General features: G+C 61.2%; 1 protein-coding gene and 1 long non-coding RNA gene across 8 annotated transcripts in view, besides 1 other annotated feature; one reads left to right on the forward strand and one right to left on the reverse strand.

The window, feature by feature from the left end:
* SLCO4A1 (solute carrier organic anion transporter family member 4A1) overlaps positions 1 to 14,817 on the forward strand; it is a 48,238-nt gene that overhangs the window by 10,683 nt on the left and 22,738 nt on the right. For 6 of the 7 annotated variants that reach the window (XR_001754251.3, XR_007067450.1, XM_005260203.4 and 3 more), the window contains exons 2-8: positions 3,174 to 4,065; positions 5,492 to 5,582; positions 7,227 to 7,348; positions 7,879 to 7,990; positions 11,749 to 11,903; positions 13,195 to 13,390; positions 14,560 to 14,725. Coding sequence is in view for 5 of the 7 variants with exons in the window: in XM_005260203.4 (XP_005260260.1) it covers positions 3,270 to 4,065; positions 5,492 to 5,582; positions 7,227 to 7,348; positions 7,879 to 7,990; positions 11,749 to 11,903; positions 13,195 to 13,390; positions 14,560 to 14,725 (1,638 nt within the window). In the remaining 2 variants the exon portion in view is untranslated. Of the gene's footprint in view, positions 1 to 3,173; positions 4,066 to 5,491; positions 5,583 to 7,226; positions 7,349 to 7,878; positions 7,991 to 11,748; positions 11,904 to 13,194; positions 13,391 to 14,559; positions 14,726 to 14,817 lie in introns of those variants that run through there. The other variant, XM_047440126.1, reaches the window with a different exon arrangement.
* Positions 2,135 to 2,184: an enhancer, noted in NCBI's record as "active region_18213". NCBI's record gives its function as "activates an Ori minimal core promoter by ATAC-STARR-seq in GM12878 lymphoblastoid cells {active_cell/tissue: GM12878}" and the evidence as "EXISTENCE:reporter gene assay evidence [ECO:0000049][PMID:35858748]".
* Positions 9,842 to 13,436, reverse strand: SLCO4A1-AS1 (SLCO4A1 antisense RNA 1). The gene is made up of 4 exons (NR_024470.1): positions 13,200 to 13,436; positions 12,675 to 12,825; positions 11,739 to 12,312; positions 9,842 to 10,302 (listed from the first exon to the last, which is right to left on the reverse strand). It is a non-coding gene; the product is annotated as an SLCO4A1 antisense RNA 1 (long non-coding RNA).

The following is a 14,817-nucleotide window of genomic DNA, read 5'->3' on the forward strand; positions in this document are numbered from 1 at the left end:
GGCGAGACCTCCGATTCCACAGAGGAGCCCTGTGGGGACCGCGCCTCGGCAGAGGACGTGGCGGGAGGACCCAGAGCCCAGCTTTGGGGGCTCAATCCTGAGATCCCTGTGGCCTTGGGGAAGGGGTGCTGGTACCGCCAGATCTCTCCAGACGTAAAACAAGCCTTGCCTGGACCTGGGGGAGATCCCATGGCCTGCTCCCGGCCTGACCATGCTGGGCCCGGTTTATCTGCCTTCACAGATGAAGTTGCCCCTTTATTAAAAAACAAAACAAAACAAAAAAAGCCAGCAATTTGTCATCCCCAAATGCTGTAGTGTCTGTCAGCATAGGCCTGTCCCGGGGCTGGTTCTCACTGAGGCCCCTGTGTCCCCTCGCAGCCCCATGGCGGATCACCGGCTGCGCCTCCGCTCCCACCCGCCACGCTGACCTTAGAGTTAGTGTGTCTGTTAAGCTCTAACTCTGCCTCAACCCCAAGGTCATCTCTCTGGGCCCTCCTCAGGCCTCTGTCATCTCCCAAATTCGGGGGCATATGTGACACCTGTTTGCCTCCGTGGGGGCTGCTGTAAGAAATGACCACACACCAAAGGGCTTAAAAAATAGTTTATTCCCAGCCAAACACTGCATGTTCTCACTCATAGGTGGAAATTGAACAATGAGAACGCTTGGACACAGGGCAGGGAACATCACACCCCGGGGCCTGCCATGGGGTGGGGGGAGGGGGGAGGGATAGCATTAGGAGATAAACCTAATGTAAATGATGAGTTAATGGGTGCAGCACACCAACATGGCACATGTATACATATGTAACAAACCTGCATGTTGTGCACATGTACCCTAGAACTTAAAGTATAATAATAAAAAAAAATAGTTTATTCCCACCAGCTCCGGAGGCCAGGAACCCAAAGTCCACACAGGCTGTGCTCCCCCTGGGGCTCTGAGGAGGGTCCTTCCTGCCCCCAGTGGCTCCCGGGGCTCCAGGTGGTCCTGAGAGCGCCACGCCCGTCTCTGTCTCTGTCTGCAGGTGGCCTTCTCTGTGTCATCTTCTCCTCTAAAAATGCACCTGTCACCGGGTTTAGGGCCCACCCTAATCCAGGATGATCTCTTCTCAGATCACTTGTCACATCTGCAAAGACGCTTTTTCCAAATAAGGTCATGCGCTCAGGTCCCAGGTGAACGTGACTGCCCGGGGAACACGGGGGGCACCGGTCCGCCCACCCCAGCCCCAGCGCAGGCCCAGTGAGCAGACTCTGTGAGGAGCTGCCAGGAGGATCCTGGGGTATCACCCAGCCCAGGTCCCCACGGGACTGCCTGCTGTCCCTGCATCTCCGTGCATCTCTGCGCGTCGCCGGCTGTGGCTGGAAGGAGACCCCAAGGCCGGATACTTAGGGCTTCGGACTCTGCAGAGCCCTGAGCATGGCTGATGTGGCCCCGGCCTCAGCCTGATGTCAGTGGGCAGCATTTCTCACGCTTTGTGTTTTGGAGCCTCCCAGGTTGTGATGTTTCGTGGGCTGAATAAGCTTCCAGAAGCGCCGGGGTCCCTGTTGAATGTGATACAATGTGGCCCAATATGGACACGCCACCGCCCACCCCACCTTAGCTCCACAGTGAAGACAAAAGACCCCAGACTGTGGACTTAGACAACAGAAACGGGCCCTCTCTTACTGCTGAGGACCAGAAATCAGGGATCATGGTGTCTGCAAGGCCGGCCCCCCTCGGAGGCTGTGAGGGAAGGAGCTACTTCCGGCCTCCCTCCCGGGCAGGGGAATGGTCTGCACATCCACATTCCCTTTTTATAATATGGACACCGGTCAGATTGGATCAGGGCCCACCCAATGTCCCTGTTTAACCTTAGTCACCTCTTTAAAGGCCTGAGTTTCAAAAACTGTCATATTCGGAGGTATTGGGGTCAAGGCTCCAAGACAGCTTCTTTTAGGGGTCACAATTCAGCCATAACAGGAGGTGCCCCAGATGGCAAGCACCTTGAGGTCTGCGAGAAAGACCCTCCCAGGGTGGGGGCGGCACAGGTGTTCTGTATCACAGCAGCCCCGGGAAGGACCCTCCCAGGGTGGGGGCGGCACAGGTGTTCTGTATCACAGCAGCCCCGGGAAGGACCCTCCCAGGGTGGGGGCGGCACAGGTGTTCTGTATCACAGCAGCCCCGGGAAGGACCCTCCCAGGGCGGGGGCGGCACAGGTGTTCCGCATCATAGCAGCCCTGTTTATTCGCCGGTTTATTTCTGACGGGGAAAGCCCTTAAGATGCAGAGAGGCTACAGCCACCTGGGTTCCCCAGAAGGCCTTGGGCAGTAGGGGGGAGCTGTTGCTCCAGGAATTGGTGTGGGGAGTGAGGCGGTGCCCTGTGGAGCCTCGGGATGGTGGGGAACAGGGCTGGTGAGGGCAGTGGGGCAGGGGCAGCGCAGGGTTCAGAAGGAAGGTGGCACGTGGGCACGTTCTCCTGGTAACTGGTCTACATGGCTGCCGACTGCAACTCCTGTTAGCCACAGGCTGACCCAGCAGCGGCCGGAGCTTGGCGGCCGGGGGTGTTTCCGGTGCTGGGGGCTCACGTGGCCCAGGAGGCTGCTTCCAGCTCATTCCTGCACCTCCCAAACTCTGCACGGAGAGGAGCTCCTTCCTCACGCCAAAGGGTGCAGAGAGCTGCCGGGTGTGAACTTAAGGAAGAACAAGGTCAGGCTCCAGGACCAAGGTGGAGTCCATCAGGGCCACTTGGCTGCAAATGGCAGGGGACGTGGCTGACACAGCGAGCGGGGCCAGGGCGGGGTGACCTGGGACCCCAGTGTCTGACTCGGCCTCTGCGTCTCAGCTCCACTCTCCACCGCGTGGCCCCATCTCAGTAGGCCTTGCCCCCGTCACAGCCCTGACGCCACACCGCTGAAGCGGCAGCTTCTCCTTCCAACAGTTCTAAAAAGGGCAGGAATTGAGTCCCTGTGAGCAAGCTGGGCACAGCCCCCCACCTTTCCGCAGCGGAGCTGTGGCTGGGAGACACAGTGCCTGGGTGTGGGCCTGGCCAGACGCCACCCTGGATTTGGGAGGCTCTTGAGACAAGGCAGGCAGAGCTTTGAGCCACCCCCGTGATGGGTGTGCTGGAATGTTCCCTCCTGGATGTGCTGTACCCGTGGAGAGACGTGAGCTTGCTAACCAGACATTCTTCTCACAGGACACACCAGCCCCTCGGATACCACTTGGCCACTCCCGCTGAGGCCACTCCCACTGCGTGGCTGAAGCCTCGAGGTCACCAGGCGGAGGCGCGGAGATGCCCCTGCATCAGCTGGGGGACAAGCCGCTCACCTTCCCCAGCCCCAACTCAGCCATGGAAAACGGGCTTGACCACACCCCACCCAGCAGGAGGGCATCCCCGGGCACACCCCTGAGCCCCGGCTCCCTCCGCTCCGCTGCCCATAGCCCCCTGGACACCAGCAAGCAGCCCCTCTGCCAGCTCTGGGCCGAGAAGCATGGCGCCCGGGGGACCCATGAGGTGCGGTACGTCTCGGCCGGGCAGAGCGTGGCGTGCGGCTGGTGGGCCTTCGCACCGCCGTGCCTGCAGGTCCTCAACACGCCCAAGGGCATCCTGTTCTTCCTGTGTGCGGCCGCATTCCTGCAGGGGATGACTGTGAATGGCTTCATCAACACAGTCATCACCTCCCTGGAGCGCCGCTATGACCTGCACAGCTACCAGAGCGGGCTCATCGCCAGCTCCTACGACATTGCCGCCTGCCTCTGCCTCACCTTCGTCAGCTACTTCGGGGGCTCAGGGCACAAGCCGCGCTGGCTGGGCTGGGGCGTGCTGCTTATGGGCACGGGGTCGCTGGTGTTCGCGCTGCCCCACTTCACGGCTGGCCGCTATGAGGTGGAGTTGGACGCGGGTGTCAGGACGTGCCCTGCCAACCCCGGCGCGGTGTGTGCGGACAGCACCTCGGGCCTGTCCCGCTACCAGCTGGTCTTCATGCTGGGCCAGTTCCTGCATGGCGTGGGTGCCACACCCCTCTACACGCTGGGCGTCACCTACCTGGATGAGAACGTCAAGTCCAGCTGCTCGCCCGTCTACATTGGTGAGTGGGGCTGGCGGGGTAAGTGCTGGCAGGGGTGGCTGAGGGCAGTGTTGCAGGAGTGAGGGTAACTGGCCGGAGCCAGCCCCGCCCCCTGCCTTCGTGTACCCCTTGTCTGCATGGCCCTGGGGCTGCTGCAAGAGTTGGCAGGGGAGGAGGGTCCGCCCTGAGGCCCAAAGCTGATGTAAGGGACTCCGGCTTTCTCATGTGGACCCTGCTCAGGGCTCCAGGCCGCTGTGCCCGGGAGCCTCAGTGCAACCCCTGCGTGGTGTCCAGCCCACCTTGCCAGGACCAAGGGGCACAGTCACTAGGCGCTGGGTGGCACCAGGTCCAATGGCGGCAGACCTCATGCTCCGGCTGGGAACCTGGCACTTGCCTGGGAAGGAGTTTGATGTGGGATAAGTGACGAGGGACAGAGCCCCAAGGCCACACCCATGTTTCCCTGAAAGCACCATGTTGGCTCCATCAGCCACATAGAGGTGGAGGGACAGAGCCCTGAGACCACACCCACGTCTGCCCGTAAGCACCGTGTCTGCTCCGGCAGCCACATAGGGGTGTGGAAAAGACCGAGCAAATCTGGAGAGTCAGAACTTTAAGGGGAAAAATAACATGAAGCAGCTCATGGCTGCTTCACAGCTATCTAAGAGTAAAGATCTATGTTATAACTCTATGCTAGGCAGCTGAGCTCACTGCCCTGGGGCAGCCCTGGGCCCCTCACTGGCTTCCTGCTCCTGTTTGTTGAGATGTAGGGAAGCCCCATGGCCCGTCCGACATGGCCGAGTTGACCCAGTGCACGGCCCGCCTGACCCCACTTCTCGGCGTCCCCCTGCCTGGCTTGGCTCTCCCGGGAAGGGCATCGTAGGATGGTCACGGGGAGCAGCTGGCCCCAGCCGGACTCTGCAGTGACCTCAGCCTCCTCATGTCCTCCTTGAGCTCTGCTCATCCCAGTCACCTGGCAGTGCTCGTCCCAAGAACCCAGGCGGGTGTTGAGATCACCTCACTCCAGCGAGGGGACGTCCCACCACACCGAGCCTTCCAAATCCCGGCCTGTGGGAGAGTGAGCGTGGCTGGGCGGAGGGGCTCAGGCCTCTCTGGTCCCTTTCCCCACCCTGGGCCCCTAATTCCTGCCAGTGTCCATCTGTGCGGCTACTTAGACGCCCTGCAAACGGGGCTTCGAGGGCCTTTGCCCTTTCGTAAGGGAAAGACAGTGCACTTGGCTTTGAGGGGGATTTTTAAAGATTGATGCTGACCCATATCAGGCCCAGTGGCAACTGCACAGACTCATCTAACTTAAAGAGGCCCATGAGGGGAGTGGGCCGGAGATGCAGAATGGCGGGTGCGGGGCTTCTCCCAGGCACGGGGCCCCACACGGCCCTCCGCAGCCCCTGGGTGGTGCACAGCGGCCCTGACGCCTCTGCCTCTCTCGCAGCCATCTTCTACACAGCGGCCATCCTGGGCCCAGCTGCCGGCTACCTGATTGGAGGTGCCCTGCTGAATATCTACACGGAAATGGGCCGACGGTGAGTGGCCGCGCACCCAGCTGCCTGCGCTGGAGAGGCCCACGTGTCTCTGGAAGGGGGTTCAGAGTCAGCAGGGCCCACTCTGAGTCAGGCCGGGCGCGGCGCAGGTGCTGGGCACCCCCCGGGCTGGAGGGAGTCAAGGCTGGCCTTGGCTCTGGAGGACTCGGAGGATCTGTAGGGGCCTTGGGAGTCGGCCCCAGGGCAGGAGGCAGGGCAGGCAGGCAGTGCCCGAGGCCTAAGCGCTTGCAAAGCCCAGCGAGCCCTGGCCACTAGTTCCCTAATGAAACTGAGATTTTTCTGTTTCTTTTCCTTTCTTTGTATCTTGTGTGTGTGACCCTAGTTTCTGTAAATGTAAGCAGGAGAAAGCAAGGAGGGGTGGAGGGAGAGGCAGAGAGAGACAGAGGGAAAGACACGTAGAGACAGACCAATTCACAGAGACAGATGGAGATAGAGATACAGAGGGACAGAAAGAAGACAGCGACAGGCAGAGAGAGACAGAGACAGATGGAGATGGGGAGGCAGAGGAGACATGTCCTTGCTGACCGCCAGTGCTCTGTGGGTTTGGGCCCCCCATTCATCCCTTGCCCATCCTGCACTTGTGAAGTTTCCAAGGTCCTCTGTTACTCGGCCTGGGCACCGCTGCACCTTGGGACTCTTTCTGCAGATGGCGCCTCTCCTGGAGGTCTCTAGCACTCTGACCTCTTACAAAAGCCCCTCTGGCCTCGGATTGATAATGTGGGGTCAAGTGTGTGCGTTCTGGGCAGAGCCTGGAGGTAGGCTGGAGCTCGTGTCCCGGGTCTGGATGCTTCTCTCAGTCTCTGTGCCCCTTCTGGCTCCGGGATCTGGGCCCACTTTGCACAAAGTGGGGAGGCAGAGCGGGGTCTGGCCCCCGGAGGCGGCCGCAGCATTTCTGCGCTGGAGCAAGCAGGTGCCGCCTGGCTGCAGCCTTGCAGGGTGTTGGCGCTCCCTGTGTCCTCTGTCTGTCTCTGCGGCTCTGCTCCCGGCCTTTGCTGGCCTTTTGCCCTCCCGCCGCTGCCTCACTGTGAAGACACATCCCCGAAAGCCCAGAGCTTGTCCTCACTGTGAAGACGCGTCCCTGGATGCCCAGAGCTTGGATGGGCTTCTACCACTCCACGGCCGCCTCAGCCCATGGTTATTTTCCACTCGCCTTTTCGTTTGAAAGCACTTATGTGCAAATTGCCACGTGCACAACAGTCCCTTCGTGGGGAGCTCTCAGTGAGCTCCAGCTGAGCCCTCTGGCGTCCCTGGGAACCCCATCTGTCATCCTCTGCACTGTGGGGAGGGATGCCTCCTCCCGCTGTTGCCTGGAGAGGCTGCTCCTCTTAGTGCCCAACCCCACCGTGGTCTCAGGACCAGGCCACAGGTGGCATCTCCAGCCCTGGAGCGTGGGCCAAGGCATGGAGCCATCTGTCTTGGGGGACAGCTAAGCCAAGGTGGTGTTTGCTTTAGTCTGCAAGGAAGGGACAGGACCTGTGGCCAGCAGCACCAGGGGCCTGTGTTGACCAGCGTGCAGACAGACCCTGGAGGTCTGCCCGGAGGAGGGGCCAGCAGCCCCCAGTGTGTGTGCCATGGAGGGCACAGGTGGGCTGCACGCTGACCCAGGTGCCACTGCCTCTTCCACAGGACGGAGCTGACCACCGAGAGCCCACTGTGGGTCGGCGCCTGGTGGGTCGGCTTCCTGGGCTCTGGGGCCGCTGCTTTCTTCACCGCCGTTCCCATCCTTGGTTACCCTCGGCAGCTGCCAGGTGGGTTTCCCTTCCCCAGCCCAGCCTTCACATTGGGAGACTGTCCCTTAGTCTTCGCGAAGGGGGCACCCCGTTTCCTCTGCTGTCTTTTTCCCCGCCATGATCAAGTCTGCGGCACACCCTCATTCTCAGTGTTCTTCCCATCTGGGTGGAGAGACGCCTCCTGGCTGTGGCACAAGGCAGGTTGTGTGTCCATCCTGTCCTGTGGCCTCCCCTCTGCCCCAGCGGCTTCTCCCCCTCAGGCCACGGAACAGGCTTGTCCCAATCAGGGCAGGGCCTCCATCCCCTCCTTCCCCCAGCCCCACTTTGGGCCCCAGCTCTCCCACACCTCCAAACCCGGCTTGTGCTGCATTCTCACGTGGTTTCTGTTCCAGTGCCGCCTCCCCGGGGCTGCGAGGGCTGCAGGGATGTCAGACAGTGACGTTCCCAGACCGGGGAGGGGCAGAGGAGTGGGGGCAGAGCCTCTCTCGGAGAAGTCCACCTCCGGGAGCCCCCAGCCCCCAGCCCCAGCTCACTCTGTGCCCTTCCAGGCTCCCAGCGCTACGCGGTCATGAGAGCGGCGGAAATGCACCAGTTGAAGGACAGCAGCCGTGGGGAGGCGAGCAACCCGGACTTTGGGAAAACCATCAGAGACCTGCCTCTGTAAGGACCGGAGTCGGGAGGGTTCCTAGTGTCCTCAGACCCTTTAATGGTCCCCATCTTGGGGGAGTCGTTGAGACCCCTCCGGGATCATGATGGGGACGCAGCCCCTAACCTCTGTCGTGACCCTGGGCCAAGAGATTAAGGAGCAACAGATAGAGCCTCTGGGCCAGGGGCCGCAGACCCCGCCTCAGGGCTGCAGAGCCGTGGGAGAGTCCCAGAGTGGGGCCGGGGCCTCGGCCCGCACCCAGGGAGCCATCACTTCACTCATACAGTGTGGAGACTCCTGTGGGCTGCGCCTGGCTCCCAGTGGCCACGGAGCAAATCCCTTCCACACCAGCAAGTCTCCCCGTGGCCTGTGTGTCCCGGGGTCCCCAGGGAAGCTGCATTTGACTTGAGACCCTTCCCTCACCATGACCCCCCACACTCTAATTCCCTTTCATCAGGTGTCACCTGTGCCGTACCCCCCGGGCCCTGGGATGCTGCCCCCCCATCTCCCTCCCTCCCTCAGAGTCTCTGAGGACCTCCCCCCTCTACCCGGCGTGTCCCGCTCACCCTCTGGGGAGGTTGCTTGCTTTGCCGTCTGCCTTGGCTGCCTTCCCTTTCTGCTGAGTGTGGTCCGGCCTTGCTTTGCTGTCTTGCTGCACTGCTAGGGTGAACCCGGGGCCCTGAGCCGGTGGGGTCCTAGAGGGACAACAGAGGGGCCCGGGCCCTCCCGGCCTCTCCTGGGGATCATGCCTTCCCTGGGGGGCTCTCCCCAGGGCTGGGCACAGGTGGCCCTCAGGGTGGCCACCACCCAAGTCCTCAGCGTCTGAGGCCCCAGCACGGGGAGACTCTTGTGCCCTTGTAGCAGCAGGTCCCTGAGCTCACAAATGGCTGTGTCTCACTGGCCATAGTGGGTGGAGGGTGTGGGCAATGGGTGAGTCCCTGCTGCCTGCCCTCAACCAGGATAGGAGGGAAGGCATCAGGGCCAAAGGTGGCCCCTCAGAAAGCCCCAAGCTGTCCACGGCAGAGAGGAGCAGGGCTGGATGAAGATGGGAAAGAGAGGCCTCATTAGGACCCTGATAGACCCCCCAAAGGAGCTGGGAGCTGCCTGCTAAGGAGGGTGACCCCATGGGCCAAGCTGACCCGGGGCCACGTTCCCAGGACTTGGGAACATCGTGTAGGCACTGGCTCACCCTCTCTCCTCCACCCAGCAGCAGAGCGGCTTAGAGCTGAGGGTCAGGCGCCCTGTTCCCAGCGTGGCTGTGAGCCCCCAGTGTGGACCTAGGAACCCTGGGGCTCTTTCAGTTCATCAGGTGATAAGGAGGTTTATGTCCAGGGTTAGTTCCCTAAACCAGTTGCTGGGAAGAAATAAATCATGGGACATGTTCCCTTTATTAAAGTCATGACTAATTCTCTGGGCAAATTCAACACGAGAATTTCAGCCGAGCAATCAGTGATTAAGAAATGAAGTTTGCATAGCATTTCAGAGAGTCAGGGCCTCCTAACGCAGCCACACACCCCGGAGCCTGGGCAGGTCTGGGAAAAGCCCCAGGGAGGGACTCCCCCAGGGTGCCCACCCCAGCCCCATCCCCCCATATGCCAGGACCCCCCCAGGGTGCCCACTCCAGCCCCGTCACACCACACGCCAGAACCCCCCCAGGGTGCCCACCCCAGCCCCATCCCCCCACACGCCGGGACCCCCCCCAGGGTGCCCACCCCAGGTCTGTCACCCCACATGCCAGAACTGGCTGGGGAAGGGAGGGCATGGGCTGGGGTCTCCTTTGTCCTCCATCGTCTTGCCTTTTTCAAGACGTGGGACCCAAGTAGTTAACCAGAAAGAAGAGGCTTTTCAATCCTCAAGTCAGGAAATAAATTTTGAAAGAACTGGGCTCTCCCATTTTAATCAGGGAAGGGGACAGAAAGAACCCATGTTCATGGCTGCTGAGGTCAGTCTGAGCGAGCCAGCGAACACCTCCAAGCAGGCAGAGTGCCTGTGAGGCTGGAGCGGAGTTTCTGACGCCAACATCAGCTCTGCAAGGCACCTGTGGGCCTGTTGGGGCTCAGAGGCTAACTAGGGCTGCACCGTCTGTTCCTGATTCTTCAGAATCCATTTACATTTGGCCACCTCCTCAAACAAGAGCATTTGAATGTTCCAGGCATTCAGAGTTGCGTTCATCGGAACCAGGCTCTAGGTGTGGCCGAGAGGAAAGAGCCGCCCTCCTGCAGGTGGGGGTGATGTGAGGCCGACAGTCTGCTCTGGTGAGAGGCTGGAAAGTGTAGGTTTACAGGATGTCACTAAGCTGCAGACGCAGGGGTTCAAGTCAGCGACACTGCGGTGTGAGCAGAGGCGACATGGACATGTCATTTATTGTGAAAATTTGCATTACTGTGGGCTGATGTGAGAGGCTATTGTGCCATGACCTGGGGCTTCAGGAACAGTCTCTGCCCCTGGTCTATGTTATGAGTTCCAGGGACAGGACAATAGCTGTGTCTGCAAACACCCCCACCTGAGGCCGAGAGCCCCCCACTCAGTGGGGGAGAAGGGTCACGCACAGGAGCGTGCTGTGAACAGGATGCAGGCAGCTGTGAGCTGGGATGAATGTGAGCTTTGCCCAGTCTGGGTGATCTGTGTACCCCAGAGAGAGCCGAGCCTCTCTTTGCAGAGGCGGTTTCCCTTCTGTCTGCCTCGATCACTGCACTGGCTGGGAGGGCTTTGCGTGGTTTACACCATGCAACACGTTTTCCATCTCAGCATCTTATGCGCTTAAGCAGCGGTTGGGCGTTAGCCCTGCTCAGGCCTCCAATGCTAACAAAAACAGGGAGAGCCTCCATTCACCCCCCAGGGCCTCGTGTGCAGGGACAGGCAGCCCCGACGCACTGCTGTCGGCCACCTCCTGGGTTAGAAACTGCAAGGCCTGATGTGGGGCCTTCCCAGCTTCCAGGGGGCTATGTCCTTATCCTGAGACCCCACAGCCAGGACCGCAACAGGCAGATGTGGAGGCTGAGGCTGAGCCCTCAGGGCCAGACGGCTCAGAGTTCCCACAGTTCCCCCCAGGGCTCCAGGCCCATGCACCAAGGACTCGCCCCAGTTGAGGCCTCACCACCCCCAGGGCCACTGGCCCCCAAGTGCAAACCAAGCTAGCCAGGTCCGTCTACCCAGGGGCTTCTTGCATGGAGGGTTCGAATCCCAGTGGCTTCCTGCCCCACTTCTCCCAGGGGCTGGCGGTTGGGGACTGGCCACAGTCCCCATTCCCGTGATTCCATTCCCCTATCCCAGGGCCTGTCCGGTCCTGGACTTGGTGGCCTCTGCCTGCCCCAGCCAGTTCCCTTTTTCAGGCCCTGCTGCTGGCCAGTGACGGAACAGGGTCCTGGGTCACTTGGGGTCTCTCCCCACCTGAGCTGAAGCTCTGGCCAAGGCACTGATAAGGTTTTTCCCTAATCAGGGACTGCAGCTTTCAGGACAAGTGGGCCACAGGCATAGGCTCAGCCTGGCGCCCCCTGGGTTTCTCTGGAATAAGTGTGGGTGTCCCCCACCTGCCTGCACCCCACTCTACTCCCTGTCGGAACAGGGGCCCTTTGTAATCAGACCGGGGAGCTGACAGCCTCAGGAACAGCAGGTTCCTCCCACCCTGGGTCTGGCCCACTCTGACCCTCAGTCTCTTCTCCACACCCCGACCTCTGCCCACCACTCTGACCCTCAGTCTCTTCTCCACACCCCGACCTCTGCCCACCACTCTGACCCTCAGTCTCTTCTCCACACCCCCACCTCTGCCCAGCTCCATCTGGCTCCTGCTGAAGAACCCCACGTTCATCCTGCTCTGCCTGGCCGGGGCCACCGAGGCCACTCTCATCACCGGCATGTCCACGTTCAGCCCCAAGTTCTTGGAGTCCCAGTTCAGCCTGAGTGCCTCAGAAGCTGCCACCTTGTTTGGTGAGAAAACTGAATCTTGGGGGTCCTCTGCTTTTATGTCAGTTCTCAGAAACAGAGTCTTCAAGGGCATCTTCTAGAAAGACCCAGACAGGGCACATGGCAGTGAGTGCCCTCCCACCCCCGCTGCCAGAGCAGGTGTGGAGAGCGCCACGGGGGCTGAGCGACTCTGTCCACAGGCCGGGAGAGTGGTGGTCCTGCCCTCTTTGTGGGACATGCTCCGTAGGTGGAAGGGTCCACGGTGGGCTCCACCCCCTAGCCACCTAGTCTTGGCTTCTGTGACTTGGTGCAGGAAGGGTTTGGACCTGGCTGTTCCATGAGCCAGGCACTGGTGCCTCAGGACCTCCTGGAACAGTGCAGCTGGGGGTTTCTCGGTGCCAGAGGCAGGCTGGCCTTCCCAGGCTGGGCAGGTCTGCAGAAAGTGGGGACCCCTCCTCAGAGCTGCTCCTCCTGCCAGCGTTCACAGAGTACCCTGGGCCATGGCAGAGGTGCCAGGCATGTGGGCCACCACCGCCAATCTACCGCGCTCTACCCTTCCAGGGTCCACTATCTGGACAGGAAGAGGGCATCAGATGAGGGCTCCCCTCCCTCCCCCACAGGCCCATCCTGGCCTGGCCCCTCTGGGCTGACCTCACAAGCCCACATTCCCACACTCAACAGCCCCCCAGAGGTCAGCTCTACTGCCCCTTGGAGAGCCTCCCCACCTGTCCCCCCAAATCTGTCCCCTCCCCACCTGTCCCCCCAAACCTGTCCCCTCTCCACCTGTCCCCTCACCTGTGCCCTCCTCACTTGTCAGCCCAGAAGCTAGATGCCAGCTAATCGCAATTTTTTACTGTTGGTGGCCACTCAGGCTTCGACAAATGTCCTTGTCACAGCCTGCAGGGACTCGGCAGAGGCCCCTGGGGGAGGAGGGGGTGTGGCTGCCCTGGAGGGGGGTCAGTGGAGGAGTCATTGGCTTCCCACTGGGGCAGGGGCCGCTGACCTTGGAGCACTCTGGGCTCTCCTCCTCCCCCCGCCCCGCCCCGCCCCCCCGCTCCCCCTTCCCCTTCCCCTTCCCCTTCCCCTTCCCCTCTGAGGCATCCCCGCTGTGGGCTCTGGACAGAGGTCCCTCCTAGGGCTCTATCAGCGCAACAGCTAAGCACTCAGGTGTGGTGTTGAGTGCTGCCATGCAGGCAGGAATTGATCCCTCTATGCCTCAGTTTCCCCACCTGTAAAGTGGACCCGGCTGATCCACCACCCTCTCCCACCACGGCCCCCTGCCTGAGTCCCTGGCTGAATCCCTCCCTCTCCCCAGGGTACCTGGTGGTGCCAGCGGGTGGTGGCGGCACCTTCCTGGGCGGCTTCTTTGTGAACAAGCTCAGGCTCCGGGGCTCCGCGGTCATCAAGTTCTGCCTGTTCTGCACCGTTGTCAGCCTGCTGGGCATCCTCGTCTTCTCACTGCACTGCCCCAGTGTGCCCATGGCGGGCGTCACAGCCAGCTACGGCGGGAGGTGAGGGCCAGATGGCACCTGGGTACGCGTCGGGGCCCCAAGCACCCGCGGTCCCTGGGCATGGAGGAGGAGTGGTGCAGCACTTGGGAGAGGTGGTTTTGAAAAGGGCTACGTCACAGGACAGCGGCAAGGGCAACACCCGCTCAGCAGGGCACCCGGCAGCATCCACGTGAAAAGGCACCATGCCAGCCCCCAGCAGTGCCTGCGCTTGGGTCCCGGCTGTGCCCCCGGGCAGTCATATGCCTCTCTGGGCCTCAGCACTCTGCTCTGTAGCTGTGTCAAATGGAACAACAGCCCTAGTGTTCGGGGTCCTTGAGGCTGGTCTCTCGGTGACATAAAAAGTGTCCCAGGATGTGCTCCTGGAGTTGCCATGTGCTGGGAGTGGGAGGGACACCTGCTGGTCAGGTGGCAATTAGGGAATATCCAAAATACACGTAGGTAGCCTGCACCTCGGCCCTGCCCTGCGGGCCCCGGGAGTGCACCTGCAGGTGCCGTGCAAGGCCGAGAAGCACAAAGCAGCCGTTGTGGCATTATCGGAACCTAAGAGTCATCAGGGTGGACGGGGTCACTACGCTGTCCTCACAACAGAGGCCCTGCCCACAAAGGAGTGGAGGAAGCTCATCCTGGGCCACTGCCAAGACATACTGTGAAGTGGGAAAAAGGAAGGAGTTGGACAATGGGCGCAGTGTGCTCTGATTCAAGTGAGAAGTGCAGATGTTTGTGACTGCCGAGGGGCGTGTACGTGCAGACGACCCCTGCAAATGCACAGCCGGCCTGTGGCTGGAGAACCGAGGACTGGGGTGGGGCTGGGGCCACGAGGCTGCCTTTGTGTACTTGGCGCTTTTTCTTTCCTAATGTTTGTATTTGATCCATATGAATGTGTTGCCTGTCCAAAAACAAATGAACTAGGGAAAGGGGCTGTGCATCAGGCGGACGGTGCTGGGGGGCATGGGTGTGCCTTCCTTGCGTGAGGAGGAAAAACCATTCTATCACCAGAAGGCAGTGCCCAGTGTGAGTGCCCAGCGTGCTGGGGGCGGTGCAAGCTTGGCAAGTTTGTAGACCCGAAATGCAGGCTGCATGGGGACGAGCCCCATGGCTGACCCTGTGCCTGCTGGGCGCCAGCATGGCTCTGGCCTGGACCCTACCACTCGCTTGTCCCCCCTCTGCAGCCTCCTGCCCGAAGGCCACCTGAACCTAACGGCTCCCTGCAACGCTGCCTGCAGCTGCCAGCCAGAACACTACAGCCCTGTGTGCGGCTCGGACGGCCTCATGTACTTCTCACTGTGCCACGCAGGGTGCCCTGCAGCCACGGAGACGAATGTGGACGGCCAGAAGGTGAGTGGAGCCGCTGCCTACCGCCCCTGTCCTCCCCTGGACCCTGGGAAGGGGCCCCCGTGCCTTCCCCTTGTAATCGGAGCTATTGTTGG

The sequence above is a fragment of the Homo sapiens genome, chromosome 20, assembly GCF_000001405.40.
Source record: "Homo sapiens chromosome 20, GRCh38.p14 Primary Assembly".
NCBI classification, from domain to species: Eukaryota; Metazoa; Chordata; class Mammalia; order Primates; family Hominidae; genus Homo; species Homo sapiens.